This window comes from Homo sapiens, chromosome 20 (genome assembly GCF_000001405.40).
Source record: "Homo sapiens chromosome 20, GRCh38.p14 Primary Assembly".
Classification (NCBI taxonomy): Eukaryota; Metazoa; Chordata; class Mammalia; order Primates; family Hominidae; genus Homo; species Homo sapiens.
The window spans coordinates 42883036-42905909 of NC_000020.11; the positions used below are offsets into that span (position 1 = coordinate 42883036).

The following is a 22874-nucleotide window of genomic DNA, read 5'->3' on the forward strand; positions in this document are numbered from 1 at the left end:
TTAGGGAGGATCAGCACTCAGAGCTTTGGAGACCACAACAGGGCTTTGGTCTTTCCTGGAGCAATGAGAAGCCTCAGAAAGCCTTAAGACAGAAGCTGGGTAGAGACAAGGAAGAAAAGAAGTAACATGAACATGCTTATATTCTAGAATAATCTCTTCGACATCTGTTTGGAGAATGGATTAAAGTCCAAAGAGTTAAGTCAAGGAGTCTGTTAGAAAGTTTTCCACTTACCCAGGAAACAGACAATGGTTGTGTTCACCAGGGCAGTGGTGGCAGAGATGGAGAGGCTTGGGCAGACCCAAACTATACTTAGGAAGTAAAATGGCAGAACAAAGTGATTGATTGGAAAAGTGGGTAAGAGAGAGAAAAAAGAGAAACATGGCCCCCCGGTTTCTGAATCAGTACCAGTAGGGTGAAGTGAGCTTTCTGGAGACGAGGAACAGTGGAAAGTGAGTAGACAGGGAAGGGGAAATGGGTAAATCAAGAGTTCAGTTTTGGAGATGTTGAGCTTGGAGAGCCTACAACATGCTACAGGGCTTTAAGTGGACTAAAGATGAGCAGAAAGAGCATATGTGAATACACACACACCCATACACATGCATATGCACACACCGCCATATACACACACCCATACAAACACACGGACACACACACACACCTCCCATACACCCCCATACACACACACCCATACACCCCCATACACTCTCACACATACCCATACACATGCACACACACCCTCCATAAACGCACACCCATACACACACAACCCTTACACCCCCATATGCACACACACACACCCCCATACACATAGACACACACCCCCATAGACATGCATACACACATACACCAATACACCCCCATACACACACACACACACACATACCAGTACACAGGCATGCACACACACCACACCCATACACCCCCATACACACACACACACGCATACACACACGTATACACACTATAAGATCCAGATTTATTGGGCCACTATCAAGGAGGGCCATGAAGAGTAGAGCAGATGTGCTATGTTTAAGCAGAGGTGTCTTGGATTCTTGGGGTCCCTAATGGGATGGGTGATTCTATCATGTAAACCAGGCAGTACTTTTTAAAGTCAGCATGATTGGGCAACAGACAGAGGTTGTTCCACACTGCCTTGCTAATAGGCATGCACACCTGTTGATGACTTTGCTCATTCAAAGTAAGGTCCCACCAGATCTGAAATGCTCAATTTTGTACCACAGCCTAACTTTATTACACCTAAGGCTTGTATCAACACTTTTGAGAAATTTATACAATTAATGCCCTTAATAGGAGCTATCCATAACCATCCAGTGCCTCCTGTTTTGGAGCCAGACTCAAAGTGAATGAGGCCACACCCTCACCTGGGCATCTCTGAGCATCTTCTTTGCTCCCACTTTAGTAGCATCCTGGAAAACCCCGTTCTCCAGAGGTAGCCAAGATGACATGGCAGCTGGGCAGTGGGTTGTGTAGGTGTAAAATTCCTGAGACATCTAGGCTGGAGGCATAAATGTCAGAATCACCAGCACAGAGGCAGTATCTGAGGCCATGGGAGTGGTTGAGGCCAACCACAGAAAGAACACCCAGTAAGCCTGAAGAACTCTTAATACTCCATGGCCAGAGTGCACTGACAGGGGAGACTGAGAAAGAGCACCTGGGGGATTGGTGAAAACCAAGACAGGTGTGGGTTAAAGTGAGGGAGCCTTTGGTCAAGCAGAAACTGTAGAAAATGGCCTCCCTTCTCCAACAAGCAGTTGTCTTTACAACTGCAGCAGGGACATGTGATTATTCAGAAAAGTGAGCTTCACTTTCTCAGAGTCACAACTCTTCCTGGCTTCTATCACCAGGTAAGCCTCTTCAAGATGCACCTTACGCAGGTATACCCCACATTTAGAGTCTAAGTGTTCTCTCTGAGAAGACCTCCTTTGGGTACTTCCCCTGAAACATATCAGGTGTACCTCACAGGCCTGCCCCATGCAGGTATCCATCAAGAATTCACACTAGGCCTTCAGCGCTGCTGGTTAAGGACAAAAGGTTGGTATTTAGAATGTCAGGATGTTTACCTTATAATACAATATATAATAATAATATAATAATATATAATAATAATATATTATATAATAATATGACCTTATAAAAATCTGTGGAAGTATCCCTAAATATATATATAAATTATATAATATATATACTATGTAACATATATAATGTATAATATAATATATAACCTTATAATAATCTGACTGTAGAAGTCTCCCTAAGTATATAAAATATATGTAAATAATATAACACACAATAATAGATAATAATATGATAATATATAACAATAATATAATAATATAATTAATATAACCTTATAATAGTCTGTACTGTTGAAGTTTCCCTAAATATATACAACCTATGTCCATGTGGCCTGGAAGAAAAGCAGCGACCGTAAATTCTTCAGAAGCTCTTTCCCTGACACGCCACTGTCATCAGGCTCCCAAGCAAAACCCAGTGATACCTACTTGTAGCTAAAGCTTAGAATCTCGACGCTAAAAGAAATGCTGAATCCAGGTGACATGTGACTAGTATCAAATCCTGAAGAATTCATTCAGCCTTGGTTTGACCACCTCTGAGTGTGGGGAACTCACTACCTACAGAGCTATCGATTGCCATCTCAGAGAGCTCAATGTGTAAGTAAGTTCTTCCCCCCATGATTCACGGTAAAAACTAGCCATCCCCATTACAGCCCCAAACATGATGGATCACATACCTGTGGGCACTGCCTGGTCCAGCATTGGTTTCTCCCATGTGTTAATCTGCTCCCAGGTGAACCCATTGGTCCCTAGAGCCACACTATAACCACAGTTGCTGTAGTGCTCATCAAAGGAACAGCCACCTGTAGACAAAAGAGATATGGGTAAATACATTCCCGTGTCTGAGGCTTGGTTCGTTACCTCTGTCTCGTCGGCTCTTCATTTACAGCTTTGAATTTTAAACTCTGGAGAAGATTTTCCATATATATATATATATATATAAAAGATGAGCAAATTGGATTTTTATATTTGCTTTGGTGCTCTCAGGAAAGGCACTGGCATCTGCAGGCCTCCGTATTTAAAAAAGTTAATAAGGCTAGTTACATTGATTTCAATCTTCCTTCCTGAGAAAGTAAACAGCAGCGTCTCATTCTAAGTAGGAAAAATGAATGCAGGGGCATGCCTCTGTAATTGCTTTGTGCAGCACGGAGAGATGCTGTGAGGCAGCGGAAGGAGCACTCACTTCCCAGTCTGGCAAAACTAGACAGCCATCACCTTCACAAGGCTGTGTGAGCTCAGGCCAGATGCTTCATACCTGAGCATCTCCGTTTCCTCACCTATGATACGGAGGGAAATGTCCAACCTCACAGAAATACCATGAGGAATAAATGGAATAACATGTGAAAAGTAACTGCCACAGAATACTTTCTCAGTGCCCACCTGTTTCTCTGTAAAAAGCAGTCTGAAAAATCATTTTTCATGGAGTGAGAATCGAATTGGTAAGAAATTAGACAATCATGCACCTGGAAGATAATAAAGTCAATGTTGATCATGTTTAAAGCTTCTCCCTTTAACTTTAAAGGTCAAGCCATCCACCATTTGACAATAAGTTATATTCATTTGCTGTTGACAAGGATTCACTGAGCATACGCTCTGAGCTGTAAGTCCCATCAAGGTGACATTGAGAGAGATGTGGGGTGTACAATGGAGGCTCCAACTAGGAAACACTGGTCTGTCCAGAGAAATGAGCCCATTATATTCTGGAGGAGAAAGCAGAAGTGGAGGAGAAGTGAACAGGGCTTTGAAGGATGGGAGCATCTCCATGGGCGGAGGGCAGGAGGAATGGCATTCTGAGTTGAGCCTGCAGGGTGCACAAATGCAGGGAGGCAGAACTGGGACTGAGTTCTACAGCAGCCTCCTGGCTGGTCTCCCAGACCTGTTTCACACTCCAGTCCATCTTTTCCAATGTCCCTTTCTTGTCTCTTTAATGTTCACAGGGTGCATCACATCACCATCCTCCTCCTTTAAACGCTCACAGGTTTCCCACCCCACAGAGAACCAATGTCTGCTATAGATTAAATGTGTGAATGCCTGCAAAATTCATGCTGAAGTTTCAAACCCCAAAGTGATAGTATTAGGACACATGGCCTTTGGGAGGTGATTAGGACATGAAGGCAGACTCCACATGATTGGGACTGGGATTGGGACCAGTGCCCTTATAAAGAGACCCCAGAGAGCTATCTCGCCCCTTCCACCATGTGAGGACACAAGGAGAAGGTGCCATCAAAGAAGCAGGAGCTGGGCCCTCACCAGATGCTGAATCTGCCAATGTCTCGATCTTATACTTCCTAGTCCCCAGGACTGTGAGAAATCAATTTCTGTTGTTTATAAGCCACTCAGTCATGGTATTTTGTTATGGCAGCCTAAATTGACTAAGAAAATAAACAAACATGGCTTTATTCAGTTCATCCCACACTAGCCCGGCCATGTGCTCATTAACATCACACTATTGTCTCCATCAGCTGCAAAGAACCAAATTCTTTCTCTGCACCCCAGACCTGAGATTTCCTCTGGATAGTGGTGGTGGACATCCTGTTGACAGATCTGACATAGAATACAGTCCAAACACCATGGAAGAAAACCTGTGATAGAAAAGCTTTCTCCACTTTCCTTTCTTGTTGGATATGGACACCCAGAAGAGCTGGCCTTCAGCAACTACTATGGTCCAAATGTGCGTGTTCCCCTTAAATTCATATGTTGAAGCCTAATCCCCAATGTAATAGTATTAGGTGGAGCCTTTGGGAGATGCTTCCAAAGGACTGTGAGGGCTCTGTTCTCAGAAATGAGATCGCACCCTTATAAAAGATGCCCTAGGCAAATCGTTCACCCCTTCTGCCATGTGCGGACTCATAGAAGGTGCCATCTATAAGGAAGGGACCTTTACCAAGTACCAAATCTGCTATCACCTTGATCTTGAACTTGCCAACCCCCAGAACTATGAGCAATAACTTTCTATTTTTTAAATAACCCAGTTTAAGGCATTTTGTTATAACAGCCGAAATGGATTAAGACAGCACCCCACTGAGTATCTCTACTCTGTAGAGGAAAGCCACCCAGAGACTCGCCTGACCAGGAATATCAGCATTCAACTTTTCAGGAGCAAAATATAAACTTTTCTTGTCATATGCCACTGAGATCTTAGGGTTTAACTGTTAGCACCGTAGAGCTTTGTACAACCTGACTAATATATAAAGTGTGTCATACCTCAACACAGTGATCCAAAGAAAGAAAGAAGAAGCATATTCTCCCAAGCATTTGCTCTGTGTTGGGCAACATATTCGACACCGATTACATATACTATCTCATTAGCTGTCATGTAATCCTCACAAACCACATGAGGTACATTTTATCTCAACTTTAAATCTAAGAGAATTGATGCACTGAGGGGATAAATGACCTGCTCAGGCAACATGGAAGGAAAGTGTTGGAGCCAATATTAAATCCATGGCAGCATAGCTGTAGAGCCCATGCCCATCCTAATAGACCAGAGAGAGAATTATTCCCCCAAACCAAGGATAAGGTCTTTCACTTATAAGGTAATAAGAGGGGCCAGGCAGATAAAGAACTTCCAAGGTGGTTGGGCCTCTCCATTCAAATCCATTCCTTCACTTATTCTAGAAACATTCAACAAGTTTTTTTAATGGGCTCTGGACATGGCACAGAATTGACAGATATGATCCTTACCCTCACAAAGTTTGCAGAATAGAGTGAAAGGTAAGCATGCAAATATACACTGAAGATGCAATGGAAAATATGCTTTCTTATGTATGTGTTGATGCTAAAAAAAACAAGTTATTATTTTAGTTGATGGTTTAATTAACCAAATTCTCTTCCTTCTTCTAGATAAGATTTAAGAAGGCTCACAGCTATACCTCTAGGCATCCCAGGTTACAGATCCCAGGCAAGGTCACATTAACACTTGCCCCTAGTCCGTTGGATCCATTGCCCACCCCTCACCTCCCTGCCTCTGCTTAACTGTAGGTAGACACTCAGCTGATACTGAGCTGACTGCTGACAGGTCCTGGCCCTCTGAGGACTAGGGATGTACCTCCTCTTCACAGGCACTCACTGAACCACCTTGCTTCTCCCCTCTGCTGAGCTCTGTTGGTCACTTCAATCTGCAGCAGGTAAGCAAATGCTTTTCCCTTCTTACAGTCTGCTCTTTGAAACTAGGGTTCCACAGCAGCAGGCCTTGGACCTCAGTGACCCAATTTTTATTTTCAAACCACAGTCCTCTCTTTGCCTCTGCAGAAGAACTCACTTAGAGTGAATTTAAAAGCAGCTTTCCACTCTATCTTGAGCCACTATTTCTTCAGAATATTCAGGCCCCACTGTCAATTCTATTCCACTCTGCCAGGATTTGTCATCACTTATGGGATGACTTATGCATTCAGGACAGAAAATGGGGACCGTAAGGTCACTCTGGGGACCTTAATGTCCCTCCTACAGAAGAGTTTCTAGAAATGGGCTCCTGTTCTGCACTTTTATCACTCATACATGTCTGAATCCCAGCAATACACACAGTTCATGATTCTTCCATGGAGCCCTTGGGCTCCCAGCAAAGCAGGGAATTTCAAGGAATGCTGCCTAACTGGTCACTGGTCCAACCAAAGCAGCAGGTTAAACATAGAAGGAGGAAATACTGCATGATGACAAAAATCAAATTGAGGACAGGAAAAGAAAGAAAAGCAGGACAGAAGGAGGGAGCCACAAATCTATGCTGCGATTTTCCACGTGTTCCTTTACTAAAAGGGGGTTACATATATAGCTCTGAGCTTCTGACACCCAATAGAAAAAAAGCAAAACCTGGTAAGGTACTGGACACTCTGTGTTTTTATAATAAAAGCCAAATTGCTCAGGGAAATGACAACCATTTCAGGTGCTTTGATCAGACAAGAATTTCTCTGCAGGAATACTCATAACAGAAACCCCATATCCCATAATGAAACAACATCTGCACAAGGGGCTGAATGGCCAATTTCATGAGACTGTTTCTCATCATCATTCTCAATATAAATTGATAGCATCACCTAAACACACAATTCAGTAAAAGCTCATTGGGGCCCAACGCAATGCAGTCTGGATACCCACTCCCTATTGGTCTGACTTGACTCAAAGGTAAGTTTTAAGAACTATTCAGGGGAGATTTTTAGGCAACTTTTATGAGTTTTCTGTCTCCCACATTGAGAAACAGAGTGGCTATGAACTCAAGACTACATAACCCAATAGCAACTGACACTGACATCTGGGTACAACCTGTTGGGCTCATATCCCTTCCCTGTTTCTGAGCCTTCATTTTCTGCTGTGCAAGGCAAAGGGCTGAACAAGATGATTGCAATGAACCTTCCACTTGTAACATTTAAGAAATCCAGAGATTCAGAAAGAACTGGAACTCTCAGAAACCACAGAGATACAGACCCATGCAGTCAGCACAAGTACAGGCTAGGGTGTCCTGCCACTGAGAGCCACCAAGAGGAGGAGGAGAAATTAAAGCCAAGCTTCCCCTGGACCGAGAACAGAAAACATTTAAACCCAGTAACATCTATCTGTCTTGGAGCAATTCCTAGTGGCCATAACCAAAACAGGCCCCAGACGTTGCTGCAGGTGTTTATGGCAGCTTAGGGGAGATTTATGGTTCCAGAGAGTCCCTGATACAGTTTGGCTGTGTCCCCACTCAAATCTCATCCTGAATTGTAGCTCCCATAATTCCCATGTGTTGTGGGAGGGACCTGGTGGGAGATAATTGAATCATAGGGGTGGTTTCCCCCATACTGTTCTCCTGGTAGTAAGTCTCGCAAGATCTGATGATTTTTAAGGGGTTTCCCCTTTCGCTTGGCTCTCATTCTTTCTTGTCTGCCACCATGTAAGATGTGCCTTTCACCTTCCACCATGATTGTGCCGCCTCCCCAGCCACATGGAACTGTGAATCCACTAAACCTGTTTCTTTATAAATTACCCAGTCTTGGCTATGTCTTTATCAGCAGTGTGAAAACGGACTAATACAGTCCCCAAAGACACTCATCTGGATGCTAACCTCATTCAGGTTTGAAGAGCAGATGACATCATTTAAGTGATCTCGACCTCACCACAATCATTTTTGGGAGGAAGGAAACCCAAAAAATCTACCCCCATCCCAGGAGCTGGGCTCAGCTGAGGTTTGGTGAAGATCCACATAATTGGGGGAGGACAGGGAAGTGCAGCCACTGGCCAAGGACCCAGCACCTCCCCAGAGGAGCTATTTCCCTGGGCAGGCTGAGGTCAAAATGTGGCAATGGCCCCAGATGCTCTGATGTGAATCAGACATAAAAAGTCAACAGAGAAATGGAAAACTGTAGCAAGGAAATTGGATTTTGAAAATCCATTTGGGTTTGGTAGTGTATAGCATATCAGCATCTGTAAGGGAAGTAAAAATAGTGCAGGATACATACTTTAGGATACATTAAAGCATAAATAAAGTTTATAGTGTCAATCAGAATTTTTTTAAAAAACATGAGCTCTTCTTTTGAAAATGAGAGAGGAATAGAATTCAATAAAAATATAAATGTGTCTTCCTCTGCATTTCTTAGATATGATCCTGTGTATTCTTGAGCTGAATTAAGTTTTGTAGAGGAACTAAAAGATTCGTTGGGCTCCCACTGTGTGCCAGGCACTGTATTTGAACTATGTAGGTGTATGTGTATATCTGTATATATATTAACGTAGATGTAGGTGACTCAAACACCACCACTCTCTAAGACAGGAGTCATCAAACATTTTCCATAAAAGACTAGACAGTAAATATTTTCAGCTCTGTAGTCACACAGCCTCTGTCACAACTACTCAGTTCTACCACTGCAGTGCAAAAATATGTAAATAAATGAGTGTGGCTGTGTTCCAATAAAACTTTATTTGCAAGAGGTGACAGCCTAGATTTGCCCAGGGGCTATAGTTTGCCAACCCTTGCTCTAAGAAAGAAGTATTGCTTTCTTCTTTGTATAAATGAAAACTTGTCATCAGAGCTCCTAAGGAACTTACCCAGCGAGGGAAAAACAATGACATCATGTACAGCAGTACTAATAGCAACACCTCCTTTTATTCACAGTTGAATGTAATGGAGGCTTTACCTACAGTATCTAACCCTCACCACAAGCCCTGCCATTTTGATTGTACCATTTTATAGATGATGTATCAAACTCACCCACATGAAGGAATGGAGCCAAGATGTGAGCCCTAGACTGGATGGTACCAAAGCCTGGGTACTTTCCATTGCTCCAACCCAGCATTCTTTTGAACACTCTGTGTGTTCACAGAATCTGGTCTCACCATGATGCTTCCAGAATAGAAAGATGTTCTTTTAATATCCAGCAGTGGAGCTAAGTAAAAAAAAAAAAAAGAAAACTGGGCTAAACCTAAAAAAGGTGGAAAATTGCCTTTACTTGCCCTCCGTGGTAGGCACTACTTTTGGTAGAGCTCATCATTTTGATGAACGTGGCTGGAGATTAAGGTGATCTGCCATGGATGAGGATACGCAGAAACACCTGCTCCCTGATCCATAGCTGGTGCTGAAAGTCCTAGTAGCTCACTCCACATACATTCTCATGATTCTTGGGGGAGACGTCAGCACTGGGGACCCTGGGGTGGGGGAAGGGACTGAGACCACAGGACTGCGTCCCTCCAACTAAAGCTCCATAGCAACAGGGACATGCCACAAGGGTCTCTTTCCTCAGAGTCTGTCCCATAGTATATGCTTGCACTTTATTGTTCAGTGAATGCCTGAATATATTAAAAAGGACCTCCATTCACGTAGAGGAGCCAGGCTGGGGCCCACAGAGAAAGCTCTCATCCACTGTCATTGGGCTTCTCCTGGGGGCCACGGTGAACCCAGGGGAGGCCTTGCAGGGGAGTAAGAGCGAAGAACTCAGAAATCAGGCTGGGACCTTTAAGAAACTACCATCAGAGTGAACAGGCAACCTACAAAATGGGAGAAAATTTTCGCAACCTACTCATCTGACAAAGGGCTAATATCCAGAATCTACAATGAACTCAAACAAATTTACAAGAAAAAAACAACCCCATCACAAAGTGGCCAAAGGATATGAACAGACACTTCTCAAAAGAAGACGTTTATGCAGCCAAAAGACACATGAAAAAATGCTCATCATCACTGGCCATCAGAGAAATGCAAATCAAAACCACAATGAGATACCATCTCATACCAGTTAGAATGGCTATCATTAAAAAGTCAGGAAATAACAGGTGCTGGAGAGGATGTGGAGAAATAGGAACACTTTTACACTGTTGGTGGGACTGTAAACTAGTTCAACCATTGTGGAAGTCAGTGTGGCGATTCCTCAGGGATCTAGAACTAGAAATACCATTTGACCCAGCCATCCCATTACTGGGTATATACCCAAAGGACTATAAATCATGCTGCTATAAAGACACATGCACACGTATGTTTATTGCAGCACTATTCACAATAGCAAAGACTTGGAACCAACCCAAATGTCCAACAACGATAGACTGGATTAAGGAAATGTGGCACATATACACCATGGAATACTATGCAGCCATAAAAAATGATGAGTTCATGTCCTTTGTAGGGACATGGATGAAATTGGAAATCATCATTCTCAGTAAACTATCGCAAGGACAAAAAACCAAACACCACATGTTCTCACTCATAGATGGGAATTGAACAATGAGAACACATGGACACAGGAAGGGGAACATCACACTCTGGGGACTGTTGTGGGGTGGGGGGAGTGGGGAGGGATAGCATTAGGAGATATACCTAATGCTAAATGACGAGTTAATGGGTGCCACACACCTGCATGGCATATGTATACATATGTAACAAACCTGCACATTGTGCACATGTACCCTAAAACTTAAGGTATAATAATAATAAAAAATTAAAAATTAAAAAATTAAAAAAAAAAGAACATTTGCTCTGATCACATGAAGGGCCAAAACAGATGGAGATTCTGAATCCGAGAAAGAAGGGAAGTCCAAGGTTGATCTAAGGAAGCGCCATAAGGCCACCAGGAAATGGAGAAGAGTAAGTTGAGACCACGGACAGGTGGAGAAGTCATTCAAGGAGAAATGAGAGTATTTGCGAGAGGACCAGAATGACAGCTGAGACTGCTAAGGAGTAAACTGTGAGCTGAGCTTGATAACGGTTTGCAAGGACCAAGTAATCACAATGCAAGGTCAAAGAGACGGGGACAGAAAGCTGCTGAGCAGACACAGATCCCAACTAGATCTGAGAGATAGTCAAGATAACCATGTCCAGTGCCCAGCACTGTTCTCAGTGTTCACCAGTAGTAACTCATTTAATTATCCCAATCACCCCACGAGATGGATATGATCATTAACCCCAATTTTATAGACAAAGAAATGAAGGCATAGAAAGGTTAAAAAAAAAAACTATCCCAAGATCACACAAATAACAGGTGGCAAAGCGTGGCTTTGAACCCAGACTAGCTCAGTCTATGTACCTACTCATTATACTAGGTTGCCATGGTGATGAACTGAAAAGATAACCTTGACCTCGAAAGGAACCTGTTGAGGGAAATAAGTGGCTGCACAGTTCTTCCCCAATCCCTGTAAAATGGCATTCAGCCAGTCTGCATGCCTTCTGCCCCCATTCACTGCCCAGGCCCAGGATGCCAATCTGCACTTCTGGAGGACCAGGCATAGGGGGTAGGCTCTGCCCCTTCACCTCATAACGGAGGCCATAGTGTTATAGGGAGGAGAAGAAATGGAGTAGGGGGCTTAAAGTCAGGAAGGCAGGCACATGCAGAGAACAGGGGGTGGTGTGGGCCTCACATAGTAATCGCTGGTATGTGAAGAGCTCACACATGTGAGCTGTTCAGACAGATTCAAGATGTAGCAAGAATAAATGGTTACAGGGCACAGAAAAATAATGTGGTCAAAGCAGTTATTTTTTAACTGGGGGGTTGTTAAACTTTTTCTATAAAAGGCTAGATAGTAAATATTTTCAGCTTTGCAGGTTGTATTAGCCTGCTAGGGCTGCTGTAAAAAAATGCCACAAACTGTGTGACTTAAACAATAGACATTTATTTTTACACAGTTCTGGAGGCCAGGAATCTCAGACCAAAGTTGGGCAGGGTCAGGTGAGGGCTTGCTTCCTGGCTGGCAGATGGCCGCCTTCTCACTGTGTCCTCACACAGCCTTTCCTTGGTGCCTGTGTACTCTGATGCATCTTCCCAGCCCAATGGAACTAAGGTCTCATGCATATAACCTCATTTAACCTTCTTATAGGCCTTGTCTCCAAACACAGTCACATGGGGAGACATCGCAAAATTCCTTCACCTTTGTCATTCACTAAGATAAGCTAATCAAGACAGTGAAATCCATCACATGCACAGTCCACGCAAGGAGTGGGAAGTACTCAGGATGTGTACCCCAGAGGCCAGGAATCTTGGGGGCTGTCTTAGAATCCCACCCATCACAGGGGGCCACATGTTCCCTGTCACTAGTACTCAACAATGTTATTGTTGTACAGAAACAATACAAAAAGAATGGGCATGACTGTGTTCTAATAAGACTTTATTTATTAGCACTGCATGTTGCATTTCATATGATTTTCACATGTCCCAAAATAGTATTCTTCTTTTGATTCCTAACCATTTAAAAATGTAAAAACCATTCCTTATTTGTGGGCTATATAAAAACCAGTGAACACTCAGATTTGGCTGGTAGGCTATAGCTGGCTGACTTCTCTTTAACGACATAAAAATTCCCAGTTTTAGCAGTCACTGAATTTTAATACAGTCCCGTGTATTGCCATTTGAATGTATGCCATGTGCTACTGACCCTCTCCTCCAAAGACTCGATTGCAGAATGTTTCTTCCCGTCTCTGGGAACTGGAGGGAGGAACACGTCTCCCATTGTCTGCTAGCCCTACGGATAAGGGATTGAGTAAAGAACACTAGCTCTTTAGATTTAATTAAACACTTCATCTACACTACAAGCTTGTGTTCTTCATTGGTAAGGAGTAGTACTTCCACTTTATAGATAAGGAAACTGAGGCAGGAGTGGATGATGCACTCAGCGTCAGATCAGGGACTGAGCCAAGACTCCAATCATGGGTTTGTTTCTTGGCCAGAAGGTCTGACAACCAAGGCGACCTCCAAGATAGGTCCACCTACAAAATTTGGAGCGCCCCTTGCAAGACTAAAATGCAGAGTCTCTTCTTCAAAATTAAGAAATCAAGATGGTGCCAGGCGCGATGGCTCATGCCTGTAATCCCAGCACTTTGGGAGGCCTAGGCGGGTGGATCTCCTGAGGCTGGAGTTTGAGACCAGCCTGGCCAACATGGTGAAATCCCGTCTTCACTAAAAATACAAAATTAGCCAGGCGTGGTGGCGCATGCCTGTAATTCCAGCTACTCGGGAGGCTGACACAGGAGAATCGCTTGAACCTGGGAGGCGGAGGTTGTGGTGAGCCGAGATCATGCCATTGCACTCCAATCTAAGCAACATGAGCACAACTCCGTCTCAAAAAAAAAAAAAAAAAAAATAGAAATCAAGATGGTGATAGCAGAGCATTAAACCAAGCACGGGCTCTTCTCTTCTGAGTTCCAGGGCCTGTATGACTCAGTGCCCTTGAAGCCAATCCTGCTCTGTGGACACATATTCCAAAGATAAAATACCTCAACCCCCAAATCATGGAGATTCCACCCTCGTGCCAACAAATGCTTTGAAGGCAGGGTAATATCTAAGTGGGGCTTATTAATTGTGAACACCCTATCGTGGGTAGCTGATTCTTGCCCCCGGAATGAATGTAAACCAGCCTTCCATAAATTGAATTCCTTTTCTGAATATATAATTGAATTTGGAGAAGTGTGTGCCGGGGGGGTGTTTAAATAAGTGCACAAATATGGTAAGAAGGCCTTCACACCATTACATCTAATTCAGTAAGCAAAAATAATGGCAGGGCACGTTCCAATTAGTGTTTGATTTATTTGCTTTAACAAATCCAATTAGTAGAATGTTTTATAAAGTCATCCAATGTCATACATTCATGGACTCAACAGATACAAACAATACTCCTAATATAAAAAAAAGTTTTAAAGCTCTTTGAGCAGTGAATTTATTATAAATAAGATGATGTCTCTCTGATGGCTCGAGCATTCCCCAAGGACCAAGAAAACAGTGTCTGATCTGTTCATTTGGTTCTTTTTCTGTGAGACTTTGTGCAGCAACTCAGGTTAATGTGGCCCATTATATTAAATCCAGGAATGAAAACAACAAAGGTGGAAGTTAGCCAAGGAACTTCAAGGGAGAATAATGAACTTGCTGCTGGGTGTCTTCTAGATCAGAGACGTGTTTCGACTTCCAAGGCAGCACAGTACAGTGGGAAAAGCCCAGGGGTAACAGAAACGGCGGTGCCCTAGAACCAAATCTGATGCCTTCATGCCCTTTTGGGTCTCCAGTTTTCTCACATATTAAATAAAGAGTTCAATGAGGTTAAGCAGCCCCCAGAAATGCCCACCTTGGGTGGTGGATGATGTTCTTTGCCCAGGGAGACACAGAACAAGGTAGCAGTTAAAGCTATGAACTCCAGAGCCAGCATCTAAGCTCTGCTATTTTTTTTTACTTAGTTATATGACCTTGGCCAACTTATGTAACTTCTATGTGCTTCATTTCTCCATCTGTAAAACTAGGATAATAGTGCCTAACTCTTAAGGCTGTTATGAGGATTGGGTAATTTAATATTTGTAAACACTTGGAATAGTACCTGGCACGTAGTCAGTGCCAAGTTGTGTGTTAAATTAATATTTAATCCCAATCTATAAATTAGAAATGGAAAAGGCAGATGTATTACATGTGGTCAGCTGGCATAATCTCACCAAACAAACAAAATGTTTTAAAGAAACTGTATCTGAGTCTGCCCATCATATCCCTTATAGATCATCAGGGCTAATTGTGGTATGCTATTGGTCTGCATGGGAAATCCCAGCTTCTGTCACCCCTTACTACTGTGTGACTTTGAATAAGTCATGTAGACTCTAGGGCCAGCATTTCTCCATGTGTGACAGAAGCAGCAAGTTGAACCCTCTCCGAGAACCTTTTTGTTGCTGTTGTTAAGAGACGGGGTCTTGCTCTGTCACCCAGGCTGGAGTGCAGTGTCATATCATAGCTCACTTGAAGCCTGGAACTCCTGGGCTCAAGCAATCCTCCTGTGCCAGCCTCCCAAGTAGCTAGGACTACAGGCATGTACCACCAAACTTGGCTAATTTTTAAATTTTTTGTAGAGATGGGTTCTTCCTATGTGCTCAGGCTGGTCTCAAACTGCTGGCCCTAAGTGATCCTCCCTCCTGGGCCTTCCAAAGCACTGGGATTATAGGCACTGTCCCCCACCTTCTAAGAATCCTTTGACTTCTGACATCCTATGGGACTACAATTATGTCCTCCCTTCATGGTACCTAGCTACATTTGCTGGGACACAAAAAGTACCAAGAGTTCCCTGAAAATAAGAGCCTCTGTTCAGACCATCTTCTCTACATGGTCTGCTATGGGCCTCTGCCTGGTGCATTTGTACATTATGAAAAAAGAACATCATGGGGTATGGCAAGCAGATTCTGTCTTCTCACGGGCCCCAGCCTTCCCAGGCACCAGTTTGTGAGCAGACACTGTGAGATGCACTGTGACCAAGGAGAAAGTGCGATGAAAGAAGGAGGCCCTCTGTTGGGTCAGCGCCAGCCTCAACCTGCCGAGGAGAGGCTGAGAGAACAGGGGGAGAGAACAGTCACCTTCAGTTGAAACGAGTGAAGATGCTTCAAGTTGGAGGCCAGCTGGAGAGTCCAACCAGCCTGAAAAGTGGTCCCGCCCAACCCAGTGAGTCTTCTTTCCCAAAAACAGCATGGGAGCAGATGCAGGGATTCCAATGCTCTATCAAATTTAAAGAGAGAAGGGACGGTCTGGCCCAGCTGCTAATTTTACAGGTGGACAAACAGGCATAAAAAGGGCAAGGCTACAAAGAAAGGGGGCCCCAGCCCAGAGCTCTGCCCACTCAGATGCCAGAATAGCATCTTTCATCTTTTCTCACGCAACAGTGCTATCTTTTCCATTTTTATTTTGAGGGAGCAGCGAAAGAAACAGATGGCCATGGGTCATCCCCCGTCTCAGAGAAACTTCAGATCAGTCGGGAAAAGGTGAGGAAAGGTTTTCTCGACACAGAAGGACAGGCTTAAACTGGTTCCTGGCAGCTGTGTCAGCGTCTGAAGCCTGCAGAAGCCCAAGCCAAGCTCTTCACGGTCTCAGGGTCTTGGCACTTGCTGTTCCCCCATGGAACACTCTTGCCCTAGCACGTGATGTGGCTGTCTCTGGGCATCTTCCACATCAAAAATCAAATGCAAAACAGCCTCCTCCCTTCTTCAGTCATTCTCTATCATACCACCTTGTTTATGCTTGACGAGGCTGTTTCTCAAACGCTTTAGTTACATTCTAAAATTGTTTATTTACTCATTTACTTATTTTCTGTCTTCCCACTACCAGCCTAAGTCTACCAGGGCAGGAAGTGTGCATCCCTTTTATTCACTAGACTCATCAAAGAGCCTAGTACTTTAACTCTTGAGAGCTTGAGGGAAACTCTTTAAATGCTCATGAATGAATGAATGAAATAGAATATGATGAAGTGTCAGAAGCACAAGATTTGGTATCAGAGGATGATGCATGGCTTGGTTATGGCACTTTCTTTGTGACTTTGGATGAGTCAGAAGAAAATTTCTGAGCCTCCACTTCCTCATCTTTAAAATGGGAACAATAATGATAGCAGCTTGCATGTACTGGGAACTATGTGCTATGCACCGTGCTAGTCCATTTCCATGGATTACCTCATTCAATCCTCAAAAGAGCCCCATGAGTTAGGTACTGTCACTATCCACACTTTATGCAAGATGAAACCAAGAGTTAAATAACATCACCCAAATATCACAGCTGGGAAATGGCCAGAGATATTCCGCAAAGCATTGCAACAGGCAAATTGCCCTGTAAATCCATCAAAGTGGGGGTGAGGTCACATTCTGAGAGTCACAGACTAGCAGGTGGTAGAAGAAAATTCTGAGATTGGTTCATCTCAAAGCCCAGCTTGGCTCAAGCTAAGTTATATTCACAGAGCCAGGGGGCTAAACCCAGGTCCTTCCCATTCAGTCAGGTGTGTGTGAGGCCCCTTCCTCAGTAATAAGTTATAATCAGCTGTCTTCAGGTGCTATCTCTTGAGTGGTCCCTGATGGTGAGCAGGCAGAGACTCCTAGCAAACATGGATGCCTGGCTTGTCCCCGGTATGAATGCCCAAGTCCTGTCATCTCTCTACCCCTTTCCAGCACTTCCTTTCATCACAGCCACATCCTTGAGTTCTGACTGGCTAAAATCTTGCTTCAGTTCACCATGTCCCCCATCACACTTCATTCCCGTAGCATCAAAAGTGGTAATGCCACCCAGAGCCCATATCACATAGAAGACAGGAGATGAAATCTGCATGGTGGGCCCTCCTCAGTTTCTTCATCCATGAAATGTGGATAATAATAGTACATTGTTGGGAGAAAAGCTGAGTGTTGGGAGAAGCTGAGGCAGGGCTTGCATGTCTGACATACTGTAAAAGAGTCTTGGAACATGTCCGGGGTCCAGGGTCTAAAACCCCTCGTGGCCTTTGGAACACCAAGCTCTGTGCTAAAGGGTAGAAGCCTACCCTGAAGCACCATAACCTAAGCCCAGGGCATAAAACCCCTCGTGGCTTGGAAAGAATCCAGGGCTCAAGGCATAAAACCCCTCGTGGCCTCTGGAATGTGTCTAGACTTGCTGGCTCCTTGCTCTCCCAGGACTGATTGTATCTTGAGTTAAAAGAACCTGCTCTCCACTATCTCAAGCAGCAGAACATGTTCCATATGCTGCAAAGGAAATGCTAAGCCGTCACAGCTGTAGATCATGCACTTGCCCTTTCGACCCCCACATTCTCAACACCTGTTTCTCTGTTTGATCACCAATAAATAGTCTGGGCTTCCAGAGCTTGGGGTCTTTGCAGCCTCCATACTTGCGTTGGCCCCCTGGACACACTTTCTCTCTCAAACTGTCTTTTCTCATTCCTCTGACTCCACCGGACTTCATCACCCTCACGACCTGGTGTTGGGTCTGTCCACCCCAAAAGTACATTCCTGATAAGCTGTCATGAGGATTAAATAACATGTAAGACAGCACAGTGCCTGGCACATAGCAAGCTCTCAACAAACATTAGTAATTATTACTCCCATCACAGAATGTCATACACACACACACACCCTTCTTTATAAACATAAATTTAAAAGAAGAAATGAAACACTTGTGTATGTCCACACTGATAAATTTCTACACTTAGATACTCAATGACATATACTTAACACCCGCAATCCCATACCTGTCTCTGTGGAAGCTCCTGGCACGTCCCCCACGGTCTCTGTCTTGTTTAGGGAACCAGTTTGTGTCTTCTGTTCTGGCTTGCCACGATTGCTAGAATACATCGACTTGACCACAGTGGTAGCACAGTTCTGTGTAAGAAACACCAACCCCACAAGACCCCCATGGGCTGCTTCATGCCCCCTCCTCTCTGGGTGTCACTCCTCCTGCCCCATTAAGGAAAGGAAGCAGAAAAATAAATAGAGAAACCAATGTCTTTCTCCAAATCAGGAAGTTTTAACACAGAGTACAGCAAAGTATGACCTATGAACTAGAAACCTAGCCTGCCTCCTGTTTGTGTAAATAAAGTTTTATTGAAACACAGCCATGTTTATTTGCCTACATATCATCTACGGCTGCTTCCCAGCTACAGCAGCAGAGTTGAGTAGCTGTGATGGAGACCACATGGTCTGTAAAGACTGAAATATTTACTATCTAGCCTTTGATGGAAAAAGTTTACTCATTCTTCCTTCCAAAGGCCTGAAGGCAATCTAATAGCTGTCACCCAGGGCATGCAGGAAACCAGGAGATGGATGACGGCAGCTTATTTTTGCTAGTCCCAAAAGTTGCTACCACTACAGGAACATCTGGCTTTCTAAAAACCTCTTCTTCTGAAAGTGACTTATTTTTAACATACAATTTTTTTCAGAGGAAACAAAAAAAGGAAAAGAACTAAGGTCCAGAGCCTCTGTTGGCAGGCCTCCCCCAGCAAGTTCCACTTCCTGGAACAGTGAGTACACTGTCCTGATGGCTCAAGGTCAGTAGAGTCACATGGTCCACACATGGCTCTCTGTGGAACTCTGGAGTGCCCTTTGACCCCACTCCACATCTCAGCTCCATTAGTGACCTGGCTTAAAGCAGCTCAGGAGAGACAGAAGCCAGGTGCTCCCACCTTGGCCCAGTGAGGATCAGAGGGAGGAGAAGACACCGGTAATCCCCAGAAGAGAACATCCTGATGTCATGCAAAGCTTTCTCAAGTTCTACCCTGGGAAAATCAGCCTTTGGTGCCCACTCAATAATCCGGAACCATTAGATGCCAGGTACTTTCCAACCACTGCCTTATTTTGTCCTTAGAGAAGCCCTGTGAGTTGTTCTTTAGGATTCAAGACAAGATTTTGCAAAATTGGAACCTGAGGCTCAGAGAGGTTAAGTCACTTCTGCAAGGCTGCACAGCTTATAAAGGACAGAGTCGGGATTAGAATTACTTTCAACTTGATCCCAAAGCACAAACCTGCTCAACTTTATGATAATGTCTCTTGCATGAAATTCCCACTCCTCCTTATTACCCTCGCTGAATTTATTCAACCCATATCTGGATTTCATTCATTAATGCTAGATCAAGTGTCTGGTGTATGCTAGACATTATTCTAGCTATCAGGGATAAAGCAGTGATTGAAAGCTATGACCTCTTTCTCCATGGAGCTCACATACTAGTAGGGGAGATCAACAATGAAAACAGGGAGAGAAGTAAAGCAGGTAAGGGGCCCATCTCGGCTCTTGACATGACATAATGCCTTGAAGATGTTAGGCATGCAATAAACATGTGCCTAAGGTGGGTATGGAAATGGATCCTTATTGAGCAGCTAATCTTTGCTAGGCATCAGGCCAGACATTCCATGTAATCTTACTTAATCTTAACAACCATCTTGTAATCCAAGAATTAATCATCACCATTTTAAAGATAAATAAACTGAAAATCCAGCAAGTTAAGAATCCAATCCATATTCCCTACAGTTGTGGATTCTGACTGTTTTCCTTCTCCAAAAGCCATCATCTTTCTGCTGCAAAATGCTATGCATGCAGAAGCCCAAGGAACATTTAGGACTGGCTGACAGATATTGGTTTATGTACCCAGTTTTTATAAGTATATTAACATTTAATTACATCAAGTAAAGACTAGGGTTCCATACAGTCAATTAAACTCGATAATAGCATCCGGCGTTCTATAAATCACCAAACTGGTAATTGTGTAGATAAAATATTATTGCGGTCTGAGTATTATCATAAGTACAGTTGGTTGTCAGAAGTCCTCTCAAAACAGTGAAGCTTTGGCAATTTAGTCTGTAGTTGCCAGTTGGACTCCGTGTACCTTGGCCGTTAAGTGTGCATTAATTGTAGGATGGAAGGTTTTTAAGGACAGAATACAAAGAAGCCTCAACTAAGCTAAAGCTGAAATTATTTGGATACCAAGATTGGGTCAAGCCAAAGGGAATGGTGGATTCAGCATGTTTTGAGATCACAAGGATGGTGATGGTGTCTTGGGTAGATGTAATTACAGCTGAACTAGCACGTCACCCAGTTAAATCAGCAAGCCTTCTGCTCTTCCTCTCTAATGTTGACACTTTGTTTCCCTGGATAGGTGAATCTCACCAAGAAGGAAGTGTACACAAAGGAGAAGCAGGCACTCTCCTAGCAATTACAGGAAGTGGTCTTTGATGAATTTCAAAGAGAGATGGTAGGGCAGTCACTAAGGTTCCTAAGCAAAAAAACAGACCATCTACCTCAAAGCTGTCTCATCTCTACCTCTCTGATGCCCGGGAGTTCATGTGCATCCAGGATACATAAACATGTTTCTCCTCTTTGGAACAAGCACTCAGCAACTTCCAGCTCTACGCACATTTTTTTTTAATCTGCAAAGGACCAATGCAGATGATCCTATGAGAGCAGCCTCTGCCAACCTCACTCCACCTCAGGCTAAAACTCTTTGAAACAGAAGTGAACTTCTAACGAAGCTGCAACTTGCTAAATCACATAGTAACTCGGGGCCTGACAGGACACCACAGGCAGGTGGTCTTGAAGATTGAGGATTTGCCTGAGAGAAAGGAGTCCTGCATCAAAGACTTGGCTCTTCCTCCAGCTGGTTGCATGACCTTGGCTGAGTCACTTTCTGTTTAAAATGGATCTGGCTGGAAGCTCTTGACAGTCTACCACAGTACCAAGGCAATGCCCATAACAACAGTGGAAGAGGTGAAAACCTTCCACAGAATTGAAAACAAGGTCTTGATACGGGAAGGGGGCAGGGAAGTGCTGGGAAGAGAAGGGTGGGTCCCTGGCTAGGGCTCCACCCCATGGACCTAGGTGAGGACAGGCATTTCTGTTTTCATGCCCAAATGTTGCACTTCCCAAGACCACCCTGGCCCACCACACCCCCATCCTGTGCCTATAAAAACCCCGAGACTCCAGAAATAACACCACACATCTACAACCATCTGATCTTTGACAAACCTGACAGAAACAAGAAATGGGGAAAGGATCCCCTATTTAATAAATGGTGCTGGGAAAACTGGCTAGCCATATGTAGAAAGCTGAAACTGGATCCCTTCCTTACATCTTATACAAAAATTAATTCAAGATGGATTAAAGACTTAAATGTTAGACCTAAAACCATAAAAACCCTAGAAGAAAACCTAGGCAATACCATTCAGGACATAGGCATGGGCAAGGACTTCATGACTGAAACACCAAAAGCAATGGCAACAAAAGCCAAAATAGACAAATGGGATCTAATTAAACTAAAGAGCTTCTGGACAGCAAAAGAAACTACCATCAGAGTGAACAGGCACCTACAGAATGGGAGAAAATTTTCACAATCTACCCATCTGACAAAGGGCTAATATCCAGAATCTAAAAAGAACTCAAACAAATTTACAAGAAAATAACAAACAACCCCATCAAAAAGTGGCCAAAGGATATGGCCAGACACTTATCAAAAGAAGACATCTATGCAGCCAACAGACACATGAAAAAATGCTCATCATCACTGGTCATCAGAGAAATGCAAATCAAAACCACAATGACATACCATCTCACACCAGTTAGAATGGCCATCATTAAAAAGTCGGGAAACAACAGATGCCGGAGAGGATGTGGAGAAATAGGAACACTTTTACACTGTTGGTGGGAGTGTAAATTAGTTCAACCATTGTGGAAGACAGTGTGGCGATTCCTCAAGGATCTAGAACTAGAAATACCATTTGACCCAGCCATCCCATTACTGGGTACATACCCAGAGGATTATAAATCATGCTACTATAAAGACACATGCACACATATGTTTATTGTGGCACTATTCGCAATAGCAAAGACTTGAAACCAACCCAAATGTCCATCAATGATAGACTGGATTAAGAAACTGTGGCACATATACACCATGGAATACTATGCAGCCATAAAAAAGGATGAGTTCATGTCCTTTGTAGGGTCATGGATGAAGCTAGAAACCATCATTCTCAGCAAATTAACACAGGAACAGAAAACCAAACACCGCATACTCTCACTCATAGGTGGGAATTGAACAATGAGATCATTTGGACACAGAGCAGGGAACATCACACACTGGGG

General features: G+C 43.6%; 1 protein-coding gene across 11 annotated transcripts in view; it reads right to left on the minus strand.

Annotated features, from left to right (window-relative positions):
* Positions 1-22874, minus strand: part of PTPRT (protein tyrosine phosphatase receptor type T) — a 1158017-nt gene that overhangs the window by 851146 nt on the left and 283997 nt on the right. For 6 of the 11 annotated variants that reach the window (XM_047439848.1, NM_001394024.1, NM_007050.6 and 3 more), the window contains exon 2: positions 2772-2897. In XM_047439848.1, coding sequence (XP_047295804.1) covers positions 2772-2897 — 126 coding nt within the window. Of the gene's footprint in view, positions 1-2771; positions 2898-18495; positions 18831-22874 lie in introns of those variants that run through there. The other 5 variants (XM_047439846.1, XM_017027611.2, XM_047439847.1 and 2 more) reach the window with 2 other exon arrangements.